Raw genomic sequence first — 13,370 nt, forward strand, 5'->3', positions numbered from 1 at the left:
GCTAACGGGTCTGTGAATGTTCACTTACCCATCACCTCACCCAGCAAGGTGACATTATCTTTGGAAATTACCTTGGTCTAAAAGGTGAAATATAAAAACAAAAGCAAGAAGCATAAAAACCCAAGACACTGGATGATGCTCATTTCAGTATTCATCTTTATTAGGAAACATGTGATATCACGGTCTATGGCTTCGGGAAATATGAGTGCAACTCAAGTTAGTCCCTACCTACTCTGAAACCACAACGCTTGCTTCTTGAGAAGGATAGAACAGTGGGGGACGTGCAGATTCACGTTATACATGCTCTGAGGCCTCCAAAGTTCACTGTCTTACATAAAAGTACATGACTTCAGCAGAAAGTACAGAGTGCTATAGAAATATAAGGAGAGGCCAGTTGTGGTGGCTCACACCTGTAATCCCAGCACTTTGGGAGGCAGAGGCGGGTGGATCACCTGAGGTCAGGAGTTGGAGACCAGCCTGGCCAACGTGGTGAAACCCTATCTCTACTGAGAAAAAAAAAAAATAGCCGGGTGTGGTGCCGCATATTTGTAACCCCAGCTACTCGAGAGGCTGAGGGAGGACAACTGCCTGAACCTGGGAGCTGGAGGTTGCAGTGATCCGAGATGGTGCCACTGCACTCCAGCCTGGACGAGAAAGTGAGACTACATCTCAAAAAACAAAACAAACAAACAAACAAAAAGAAATATAAGGAGGAATACATGCACACTTTGTAGAGGTTTCTAAGGAAGACTTACAACTGATTTTCACAGGCAGGTTTAACAGACAACCAGAAAGTACAGCATAAATAATCACTTGCGGGTCGCAATCACAGTTTGCTTGCTGCGGGAACACAGGCAGTTCTGTGTGTGTCTTCTCAGCACCACCACCTGCATCTTGACCCACCAGCCCAGCATCTGGCCTACTAGGCCACCCACAATTTTCTGTACCTAGCTGACAGCCAAAGAAAGGTACAATTGCCCTGCCCTCCCAAAAACCAAGAAGAGGCAACATGTCATAAGCCTTGCTTATATCCAAACCTTAGTACATATGTATTTCGCATCCATTATCTAACTTCACTCTCATATCTAAATAGGAGGGATTATCATCTCCATTTACACAGGAGGAAACTGAGTCTCAGAGAGGTTCAGTAACTTCCTCAAAGACAGAAAATTCAGTCATACTGACCTTACACCTGTTCTCTTAATCACTGCAAGATACTATATCCTACACACGATTCATATTTTTAAAGCATTTAATACCGAAATATATCTGTATTTTTTATATTTTTGTTTTCTGAATTCTCTAGTTTTTAAGGTTATTGTGTGTGTGTGTGTGTGTGTGTGTGTGTGTGGTTATATCTGGTCTCTCAGTGAGGTGACCAATCCCAGCTCCCAGCTAATTAGGAAATAACAGACTTCTCAGCTCAAAAAGAAGAGCTGATCTTTAAAAAGTCTTAAAATATTTGCTAATAGAACATGGCAACACATATTGATTTAAGAATTATTGTTTACATCTAAAAGTCTTACAAAAAGATGAGTTCTAGACCCAGAAAACAAAATGACTTAAGAAAAAAAGAAGAACCACATTTTAATAAATATATAAAACCTCAGGACACAAAATGAAGGTTGAATACATTTCATATTCAATATCTATATTTGAATGGTAGTGAAAAATATAAAATTTCCCCCGGCAGACTCTTCTAGAATTAATTTTGTATCCGAACATTACAGAATGGAACATATTCTTTTAACAAGCATAATTTTAACTACAATGCCTGTTTGGCATTTAACCACCAAACTGCTTTGAGTCCTGGAGAAATTTTTAGGTATCTATCCACTATTTACTTTAAACTTCATTTTGTGGGATTCTGTTCCTGCTAGTCTTTGTGAAGCTTGTGCCAACGAACATGTTTTCTATAAACAGCAGTAAAAATGTATTCCTATTTTCTGCAAATAAAAATGCCATCCATCCTTCTGGCTCATTCTATTCCTCATTTGAACTCTCCCTCTCTCTGTCAACCTTCTATTAGGTACAAGATGAAATATGTATTTAATCATGAGGTCACTTAATCAGTAGATGGTATTTTCATGATTTGTTTATGGTATTAAAACATAAAATCAGGATCATTAAGGTTGCTAACACCTCACAGAAAGTGGAAAGCTTTTAATTCTGCTGTAAGCCACTGAAGAATTGTGTTCTAAGCTGTGATAAGTACAAATCATCCAGATTGCTTTAAACGATTACTGACTTCGCAGAAGACAAATCTTAGGTGTAATAAACAAAGCAGGGTTCACTTCTTGGTGAGAGACTATGGCAAGATTTTCTTCTGATTTAGAGAGAAAAAAATTGCCCACTAGTTTTTGATCAGTAAGGTGTTTACTGATAGGGTGGCAGAAGAAATTCTTCTACTTATTTATTTTGGGAACACATGAGACTAAAACAAAAAACAAACAAACAACAAACAAACAAAAAACTGGCAGGGTGCGGTGGCTCACGCCTATAATCCTAACACTTTGGGAGGTCAAGGCAGGCAGATTGCCTGAGCTCAACACCAGCCTGGGCAACATGGCGAAACCCCGTCTCTACTAAAAACACAAAAACTTAGCTGGGCGTGGTGGTGCATGCCTGCAATCCCAGCTACTTGGGAGGCTGAGGCTTGCAGTGAGCCGAGATCATGCCACTGCACTCCAGACTGGGTGACAGAGCAAGACTCTGTCTCAAAAAAAAATAAAACCTACTTCTCAATGAAATGACTAACATAACAGGTTGTGCTCCTGGCTAATACAGGATTTCTTCTGGAGCCACTAAAATTATGAACAGGGTATACAAACCGACAGGAATATTAAGAAATAAAAATGTAATTCTGTCAAATCATTATCATTACCTTCAATTACAGGATGAATAGAAGCAAAAGGGACAATATGGAAGACACTTAAATGTAAGCTCCTAAGCCCAAATACTGACAGCATCAGCACTAAGTCAGCAGATGTAAATTATGTGCTACTGTAGCATCTCACCTGCCTCAGGGAGTTCAGAGGTCAACTCTGGTTCCCAGGTCCCACCTGGGGAGATCTCTACTTTACATCTGTTTTTTTTGTTACCTCATCCAACCCAGTGAATGCCTTTAAATCAGAACTTTATGGAGTGTTGGTATGTCTTCTGTGTATGACAAGATCTAAACAAACATTCTCTAAGCTTTTCTAAACTTGTCCTTCCCTTGGGATACATTAATCACTCCTTTCATCCCTCATATGCTAATCTGATCTTTTGACATCCAGCGCTGGTACCTGTGTTGGACTTCGGTTAGTGCTTAATCCTGAGTCCCAGCTAACTCCAATGAAGAGTGAATGGTGTAAGGCATTAGAGCAATGTGGTGCACCTCTCCCTTCCTTTGTGGTCAGCATATCTCACTGACAGATGGTTTCCTTTGTACATTTTTTCCATGTTAATGTTTATTATGAAATTCAAGGCTGAAGTCCGTCTATATGCTACCTTAAAAATACACATCTTAGAAAAGGCATATAAAAGTGGAAATAAAAGATAAGTTTTAACCCACTTATCTTAATAACTGATATAACAAGCACATAAAAATCGACAGAGAAAATTTGAAAACATGATTAATAAACTTGACTTAATGATGACCTAAAGGCTACAATACTATAGCCAATAACTGCATAAACACACTTTTCAAGTGCATCTTTATTATGCCATAAAGCAAGTATCATCAAACTTCAAGAGACAGATATTATACAGAATATATTCTGACATAAGTGGATTTAACATGAAATCAATGTAATTAGAAATGTAACTAGAAATGTTAGGAATTCAGCAATATATTTCTATATAACACCTGTTTCAAATAAATTACAATAAAATTAGAAACTTTTCAAATAAAAGAAAATGAAAACCTAATAATATTAAAATTTCAGGACTGCAACTAATGCTGTTTACAAGTAAAATTATTCCTTCAAACTTTTTTTTAAAGACAGGTTAAAAGTAAAGGATCTAAAAATATACCTTACAAAGATAGAAAAATGAGTAGCATATTAAATTAAAATCTGAGAAAAATGGAAATTAGAAAAAAGGAGAAAATGATTAAATAGAAAACTAATTTGAAGGAGAAAAATCAACAAACCCAAAGCCTCATTATATAAAAAAACTGATGAAATCAATAAACTTCAAAAAGACTAATCAAGAAAAAAAGAGAGGAAAATTATCATTATCATGAATTAACAGGGAATAACAGAAGAGATACTACAGGCATTAAAAAGAATATATAATAAACACCGTTCCAATAAATTAAAAATTTTGATGCAAAAGGCAAATTTCTGGAAAAATGATGGGCAAAGACTGACATAATAAAAAACCTAAATCTGAATAATTCTATTATTGAATTTAAGAATATGAATTCATGACACAAAAATTTCCCATAGAAAAAACAAAGATGGGTCACAAGATGATTTTGCAGAAGTTTTATCAAATTCTTCTAGAGAATTGGAATCCAGCATTATCCTGATATAAAAACCAAAGAAAGGAAAATTATAAACCAAACTGTGTTAAGAACACTAAGTCCGGGCCCGGTGACTCACACCTGTAATCCCAGCACTTTGGGAGGCCAAGGAGGGCGGATCACAAGGTCAGGAGTTTGAGACCAGCCTGGCCAACATGGTGAAACCCCGTCTCTACTAAAAATACAAAATTTAGCTAGGCGTGGTCACGGGCACCTGTAATCCCAGCTACTTGGGAGGCTGAGGCAGGAGAAACACTTGCAACCGGAAGCTGAGATCACGCCACTGCACTCCAGCTTGGGTGAAAAAGCAAACAACAACAAAAAAGAACACTAAATAACATACTAAATACACTGAATCTAAGAACATAAAAAATAATTATACTTTATAAACTGTTTACACCAGTAATACAAGCCTGATTTAAGATCTGACAATTAATCAATCAATGCTATTTATCAGGTTAACGAAACAGGAAGAACCACATGATCATATAAATAGTGGCAAGAAAACACCAGGGCTTGAACCCAGGAGATGAAAGTTGCAGTGAGCCGAAATCATGCCACTGCACTCCAGCCTAGGTGACAGTGAGACTCTGTCAAAAAAAGAAAAAAAAAAAGAAGCCAATCCCAAGAGGTGGGATCATGGCAGACGAGAGGCAGGACTAGATTGCAGCTCTGACTCGGACTAACAGAGCAGTGTGCAGAGGCTTGCATGTGAACTTTAGCTCTGGATCGACTTCAAGAACAAACCAGCAATCCCAAGAGGAGCCACAGACCCTTTGAAGGAAGTGGACTGCTACTGCAGGACCTAGGAGACACCCCAAATACTCTGCAGCAAGACCCACCCAAGGAGAGTCTGAGCTCAGACATGCCTAGCCCTGCCCCCACCTGATGGTCCTTCCCTACGCACTGTGGTAGTGGAAGACAAAGGGCATATAATCCAGGGAGTCCTAGGGTCCTGTGCACTGCTAGTTCCTCTTCATGCTACCACAGCTAATGCTCTCTGCAAAGTGCCACCTTCCAACAGGAGGCCAACCAGTACAAAAATAGAGCATTAAACCAAAGCTAAGAACCGTCACAGGGTCCATTGCACCCCCCGACCACCTCCACCGGAACAGGTGCTGGTATCCATGGCTGAGAGACCCAAAGAGATCTCTGTGAGGTTCACATCACAGGACTCTCTGCAGACAACCGCCAGTGCCAACCGGGAACCAGGCAGACTCACTGGGTGGCTAGACCCAGAAGAGAGACAATAATCACCGCGGTTCGGCTCACAGGAAGCCGTATCCACACCAAAAGGGAGAGAGTACTATATCAAGGGAACACCCTGTGGGACAAAAGAATCTGAACAACAGCCTTCAGCTCAAGACCTTCCCTCTGACAGAGCCTACCCAAATGAGAAAAGGAACTAGAAAACCCACTCTGATAATGTGACAAAATAAGGCTCTTTACCAGCCTCACAAAATCACACTAGTTCACCAGCAATGGATCCAAACTGAGAAGAAATCCCTGATTTACCTGAAAAAGAATTTAGGAGGTTAGTTATTAAGCTAATCAGGGGGGCACCAGAGAAAGGCAAAGCACAATGCAAGGAAATCCAACAAATAATACAAGACATAAAGGGAGAAATAGTCAAAGAAACAGATAGCTTAAAAAAAATCAAAAATTCGAGAGACATTGGACACACTTACAGAAATGCAAAATGCTCTGGAAAGTCTCAGCAATAGAACTGAATAAGTAGAAGAAAGAAGAAGAAACAAGTAGTAGAAGAAAGAACTCAAAGACAAGGTCTTCTAATTAACCCAATCCAACAAATACAAATGGAAAAAGAATAAGAAAATATGAACAAAACCTCCAAGAAGTCTGGGATTATGTTAAACGACCAAGCCTAAGAATAATCAGTGTTCCTGAGGAAGAAGAGAATTCTAAAAGCTTGGAAAACATATTTGGGCAAATAATCGAGGAAAACTTCTTCAGCCTTGCTAGAGACCTAGACATCCAAATACAAGAAGCACAAAGAACACCTGGGAAATTCATTGAAAAAAATCATCACCTAGGTGCACTGTCATCAGGTTACCCAAAGGTAAGACCAAAGAAAGAATCTTAAGAGCTGTGAGACAGAAGCACCAGGTAACCTATAAAGGAAAACCTATCAGATTAACAGCAGATTTCTCAGCAGAAACCCTATAAGCTAGAAGGGATTGGGGCCCTATCTTCAGCCTCCTCAAACAAAACAATGATCAGCCAAGAATTTTGCATCCAGTGAAACTATGCTCCACATATGAAAGAAAGATACAGTTTTTTTCAAACAAACAAATGCTAAGAGAATTCACTACTACCAAACCACCACTGTAAGAAACTGCTAAAAGGAGCTCTAAATCTTGAAACAAATCCTGGAAACGCATCAAAACAGAAACTCTTTAAAGCATAAATCATACAGGACCTATAAAACAAAAATACAAGTTAAAAAGCAAAAACAAACAAAAAAAACACAAAGTACACAGACAACAAACAGCGCGATGAATACAACAGTACCTCACATCTCAACACTAATATTGAATGTAAATTGCCTAAATGCTCCACTTAAAAGATACAGAAGTGCAGAATGGATAAAAACTCACCAACCAATCTGCTGCCTTCTGGAGACTCACCTAACACATAAGCACTCACAGAAACTTAAAGGGGTGGAAAAAGGATTTCATGCAAATCGACATGAAACACAGCAGGGGCAGCTATTCTTATATCAGACAAAACAAACTTTAAAGCAACAGCAGTTAAAAGAGACAAAGAGGGACATTATCTAACAGTAAAAGGCCTTGTCCAAAAGGAAAATATCACAGTCCTAAACATATATGCACCCAACACTACAGCTCTCAAATTTATAAAACAATTACTAATAGAATTAAGAAATAAGAGAGACAGCAACACAATAACAGTGGGGGACTTCAATACTTCACTGACAGCACTAGACAGATCATTAAGACAAAAAGTCAACAAAGAAACAATGGATTTAAACTATACCTTGGAACAAATGGACTTAACATACATAAATAGAACATTTCATCCAACAACTGCAGAATACACATTCTATTCGACAGTGCATGGAACTTTTTCCAAGATAGACCATATGATTCAACTCCAAAAGGAATCTTCAAAACCATGCAAATACATGGAAATTAAATAATCTGCTCCTGAATGAGCATTGGGTCAAAAATGAAATCAAGATGGAAATTAAAAAATATTTCAAACTGAATGACAATAATGACACAACCTATCAAAACCTCTGGGATACAGCAAAGGCAGTACTAAGAGGAAAGTTCATAGCCTTAAACACCTGCATTGAAAAAGCTGAAAGAGCACAAACTGACATTCCAAGGTCACACCTCAAGGAACTAGAGAAACAAGAACAAACCAAACCCAAACCCAGCAGAAGAAAGGAAATAACTAAGATCAGAGCAGAACTAAATGAAATGAAACAACAACAACAAAACACAAAAGATAAATAAAACAAAAAGCTGGTTTTTTGAAAAGGTAAATAAAATTGATAGGCCATTAGCAAGATTAACCAAGAAAAGAAGAGAGAAAAATTAACTGACACCACTGAAATACAAAAGATCATTCAAGGCTACTATGAACATCTTTACACACATAAACTAGAAAACCTAGAAGAGATGGATAAATTCCTGGAAAAATACAACCCTCCTAGCTTAAATCAGGAAGAATTAGATACCCTGAACAGACCAATAACAAGCAGCAAGACTGAAATGGTAATTTAAAAATTACCAACAAAAAAAAGTCCAAGACCAGACAGATTCACAGCAGAATTTTACCAGACATTCAAAGAAGAATTGGTACCAATCCTTTGGACACTATTCCATAAGACAGAGAAAGAAGGAACCCTCCCTAATTCATTCTATAAAGCCAGCATCACCATAATACCAAAACGAGGAAAGGACATAACCAAAAAGAACACTGCAAACCGATATCCTTGATGAACATAGATGCTAAAATCCTTAACAAAATACTTGTTAACTGAATCCAACAACATATCAAAAAGATAAGCCACCATGATCAAGTGGGTTTCATACCAGGGATGTAGAGATGGTTTAACATATGCAAGTCAATAAATGTGATACACCACATAAACAAAATTAAAACCAAAAAATCACATAATCATCTCAATAGATGCAGAAAAAGCATTCGACAAAATCCAGCATCCCTTTAAGATTAAAACTCTCAGCAAAATCGGCATACAAGAGACATACCTCAATGTAATAAAAGCCATCTATGACAAACCCACAGCCAACATGATACTGAATGGGGAAAAGTTGAAAGCATTTCCTCGGAGAACTGGAACAAGACAAGGATGCCCACTCTTACCACTCCTCTTCAACATAGTACTGGAAGTCCTGGCCAGATCAATCAGACAAAAGAAAGAAATAAAGGGCATCCAAATTGGTAAAGAGGAAGTCAAACTGTCGTTTACCTTGGAAAGCCTAAAGACTCCTCCAGAAAGCTCCTAGAACTGATAAAATAATTGAGCAAAGTTTCCAGATATAAGATTAATGTACACAAATCAGTAGCTCTTCTATACGCCAACAGGAACCAAGTAGAGAATCAAATCAAGAACTAAACCCCTTTTACAATAGCTGCAAAAATTAAAATAAAATAAAATACTTAGGAATATACCTAACCAAGGAATCAAAAGACCTCTACAAGGAAAACTACAAAACACTGCTGGAAGAAATCATAGACAACACAAATAAATGGAAATACATCTCATGCTCATGGATGGATAGAATCAATATTGTGAAAATGACCATACTGCCAAAAGCAATCTACAAATTCAATGCAATTCCCATCAAAATACCACCATCATTCTGCACAGAATTAAAAAAAAAAATTCTAAAATTCACATGGAACCAAAAAAGAGCCCGCAGAGCCAAAGCAAGACTAATCAAACAGAACAAATCTGGAGGCATCACACTACTTGATTTCAAACTGTACTATAAGGCCATAGTCACCAAAACAGCATGGTACTGGTATAAAAATAGGCACACAGACCAATGGAACAGAATAGAGAACCCAAATACTTAACCGCCAACTGATATTTGACAAAGCAAACAAAATCATAAAGTGGGGAAAGGACACCCTTTTCAACAAATGGTGCTGGGATAACTGGCTAGCCACATGTAGGAGAATGAAACTGGATCCTTATCTCTGACCTTATACAAAAATCAACTCAAGATGGATCAGAGACTTAAATCTAAGACCTGGAAACTATAAAAATTCTAGAAGATAACATTGGAAAAACCCTTCTAGACATTGGTTTAGGCAAGGATTTCATGACTAAGAACCCAAAAGCAAATGCAATAAAAACAAAGATAAATAGTAGGGACTTAATTAAACTAAGGAGCTTTTGCACCGCAAAAGGCACATTCAGCAGAGTGAAGAGACAACACACAGAGTGGGAGTAAATCTTCACAATCTATACACATTTGACAAAGGAGTAATATCCAGAGTCTACAATGAATTAGAACAAATCAGTAAGAAAAAAAAATCTCATCAGAAAGTGGACTTAGGACATGAAGAGAAAATTCTGGAAAGAAGATATACAATGCTCACTATCACTAATGACTAGGGAAATGCAAATCAAAAACACAATGTGATACCACCTTACTCCTGCAAGAATGGCCATAATAAAAAAATCAGAAAACAGTAGATGTTGGCATGGATGCAGTGATCAGGGAACTCTTCTACACTGCTGGTGGGAATGTAAACTAGTACAGTCGCTATGGAAAATAGTGTGGAAATTCCTTAAAGAACTAAAAGTAGATCTACCATTTGATCCAGCAATCCCACTACTGGCTATCTACCCAGAGGAAAATAAATCATTATTTGGAAAAGATACTTGCACACACATGTTTATAGCAGCACGATTCACAATTGCAAAATCATGGAACCAACCCAAATGCCCATCAATCAATGAGTGGATAAAGAAACTGTGAGATTATCTATCTATCTATCTATCTATCTATCTATCTATCTATCTATCTATCTATCTGATGGAATACTCCTCAACCATAGAAAGGAATGAACTGACAGCATTTGCAGTGACCTGGATGAGACTGGAGACTATTATTCTGAGTGAAGTAACTCAGGAATGGAAAACCAAACATTGTATGTTCTCACTGATACATGGGAGCTAAGCTATGAGGATGCAAAGGCATAAGAATGATACAATGGACTTTGGGGGTTTAGGGGGAAGAGTGGGAGGAGGGCGAGGGATAAAACACTACAAATATGGTGCAGTGTACACTGCTTGGGTGATGGGTGCACCAAAATCTCTCAAATCACCACTAAAGAGCTTAGTCATGTAACCAAATACCACCTGTACCTCAGTAACTTATGGAAAACTAACAAATAAATAAATAAGACACTGAAATAGATACAGATTTTTTTAAACAGAACACAAAAATCAATGACCATAAAGGAAAAGATTGATAAGTATGTTTATGAAAACACAATATTACAGGGCTAAAAAGATAAGCATTAGTACAGAAGGAAGGTATCTGCAATTCAGAATACATAAAGAATTCTACAAATCAGTAAGAAAAACAAAACAAAAACCCAGAGTACTCAATAGAAAAATTGTTAAGACACTTAAATAGGTGCTTACCCAAATGATATTTAATTGGTCAATAAACATAAAAAGATGAAAAGTATAAGAGCAAAACAAATGAAAATTCTATAAACAAAAATTGAATATCAAAAAAACAACATTTAGCCAGGTACAGTGGCTCATGCCTATAATCCCAGCACTGAGGTTTGCTTGAGGAGGGAGGAGGATTGCTTGAGCCTAGGAGTTTGAGACCAGCCAGGACAACACAGCGAGATCCCATCTCTATGAAAGAAAAAAAAAAACATATTCAATGGGCTGGCAGCAGATTGGGATAAGAGAAAGAATCAATGACCCTAAAGACAGAGCAATACAAATTATCCAAATGAAAGACAAAAATAAAAAAGACTGAAAGACTGGAATGCAACACCCTAGATCTTGGAGCTACACCAAACAGTCTAACATACTATCATTTTCAGTCCCAGAAGTTAAGGAGTTAAAAGAGAAAGAAAAGAAAAGTGTATCAAAACATAAAGTACTCATAATTTTCCAAAATTAAATAAAAATACCAACCCATATATTGAAGCTCATTAATCCCAAGAAGGATACTAAACACATATAGTCAAACAGCAAAAACTCAAAGAGGAAATTGTTTTAAAAAGCAGCCATGAAGAGTCATAATGTATAGTGCAACAAGCATAATAATGATGGTTTCTCATCAGAAACAATGAAGGGAGAAGACAATGATGTGATATATGTACAGTGCCAAAAAAAGGAAAAAAAAAGAAAACTGTCAACCTAGAATCTTCTATCTGTTGAAAAGATCATTAAAAACAAAGTTGAAATAAAGACATGCTCAGATGGGCAAAAGCTAGGAGAAGGTCTCTAGCAGACCAGCCTGAAAGGAAGTTCTTCAGGCTTAAGGAAAATGATACCAGATGGAAGCTCAGACTTCAGAAAGAAATAAAGAGCACTGGAAAGGACAAATATGTGAATAAATATAAAACACAATTTTCTATAATATGTATGCACATACATGCATACATATGTATAAATTTCTTTAAAAGACCATTGGTTATTTAAAGCAAAATGGACCCAATATATCATGAAGTTTATAGCATATGTAGAAGTAAACAATATGACAACATAAGCCCAAAGAATAGCAGAAATAAATTATATAATAGTAAGATTATTCTATTGTTTGCAAATTTGGTAGGAAATTATTTGAAAATAGATTGCAATAAACTTAAATGGATATGTAAACTCTAGAGCAACCACTAAAAACAATAACATAAAGAGTAGAGCTAAAAATGTGATAGAAAAAATAAGAACATATATTCTATTCACTGCAAAGAAGGAAAAGAACATATGAGACTAACAGAAGACAAATACCAAGATGGTAGACTTAAAACCAACCATATCTATAATTACATTAAATGTACATGGATGAAACTCCACATAAAATGACAGAGAATTTCAGCTGAGCATTTAAAAAGCCAGACCTAATTAGATGCTGCTTACAACAAAGACTGTAAATACAGAGAGAGAGAGAGATACCAAGCAAAAACACCCCACTCTTAGTAAATGACAGAACAGTGGACAAAAATTCAGTAAAGATACTGAAGATCCAGATATTATAAGCCAACTTGACCTGTCATTTTTAGAACTCTATACTCCACAGCTACAGAATATACATTCTTTTTTTTTTTTTTTTTTTTTTTTCAAATGCACAGGGGACCGTTACCAAAGTAAAGTAAATACTGGGCCATTAAAGAAGTCTCAATACATTTCAAAGGTTAGAAATATTACAGAATATGTTATCGAATTACAACAAGGCTAATTAGAAATCAGTAGCAGTAAGGTTTTTTAAAAAAAAAAAATCCCTAAATCTTTAGAAATGAAGTTATATACTCCATAATAACTCACTACTAAAATATTACTTCAGAAAGTCAACTCATGGGCCAGGTACAGTGGCTCACGCCTATAATCCCAGCACTTTTAGAGGCTGAGGTGGGAGGCTCACTTGAGGCCAGGAGTTTCAGACCAACCTGGGCAACATGGTGAAACTCCATCTCTACTAAAAATACAAAAATTAGCTGGGTGTGGTGATGTGCGCCTGTAATCCCAGCTATTCAACAGGCTGAGGCACAAGAATCGCTTGAACCTGGGAGGTGGAGGTTGCAGTGAGCCGAGATTGCACCACTGCACTCCAGCCTGGGCGACAGAGTGAGATACTGTCTAAAA

The 13,370-nt window shown here is 37.1% G+C and overlaps 1 protein-coding gene across 6 annotated transcripts in view; it reads right to left on the bottom strand.

Moving 5' to 3' along the window:
* ABCC4 (ATP binding cassette subfamily C member 4 (PEL blood group)) overlaps positions 1–13,370 on the bottom strand; it is a 281,617-nt gene that overhangs the window by 64,934 nt on the left and 203,313 nt on the right. For 2 of the 6 annotated variants that reach the window (NM_001301830.2, NM_001105515.3), the window contains one exon: positions 11,003–11,411. The exons of the other annotated variants lie outside the window; for them this stretch is intronic. In NM_001301830.2, coding sequence (NP_001288759.1) covers positions 11,367–11,411 — 45 coding nt within the window. In that variant the 3' untranslated portion in view covers positions 11,003–11,366. Of the gene's footprint in view, positions 1–11,002; positions 11,412–13,370 lie in introns of those variants that run through there. 6 annotated transcript variants of the gene reach the window in all.

The sequence above is a fragment of the Homo sapiens genome, chromosome 13 (genome assembly GCF_000001405.40).
Source record: "Homo sapiens chromosome 13, GRCh38.p14 Primary Assembly".
In the NCBI taxonomy this organism is placed as follows: domain Eukaryota; kingdom Metazoa; phylum Chordata; class Mammalia; order Primates; family Hominidae; genus Homo; species Homo sapiens.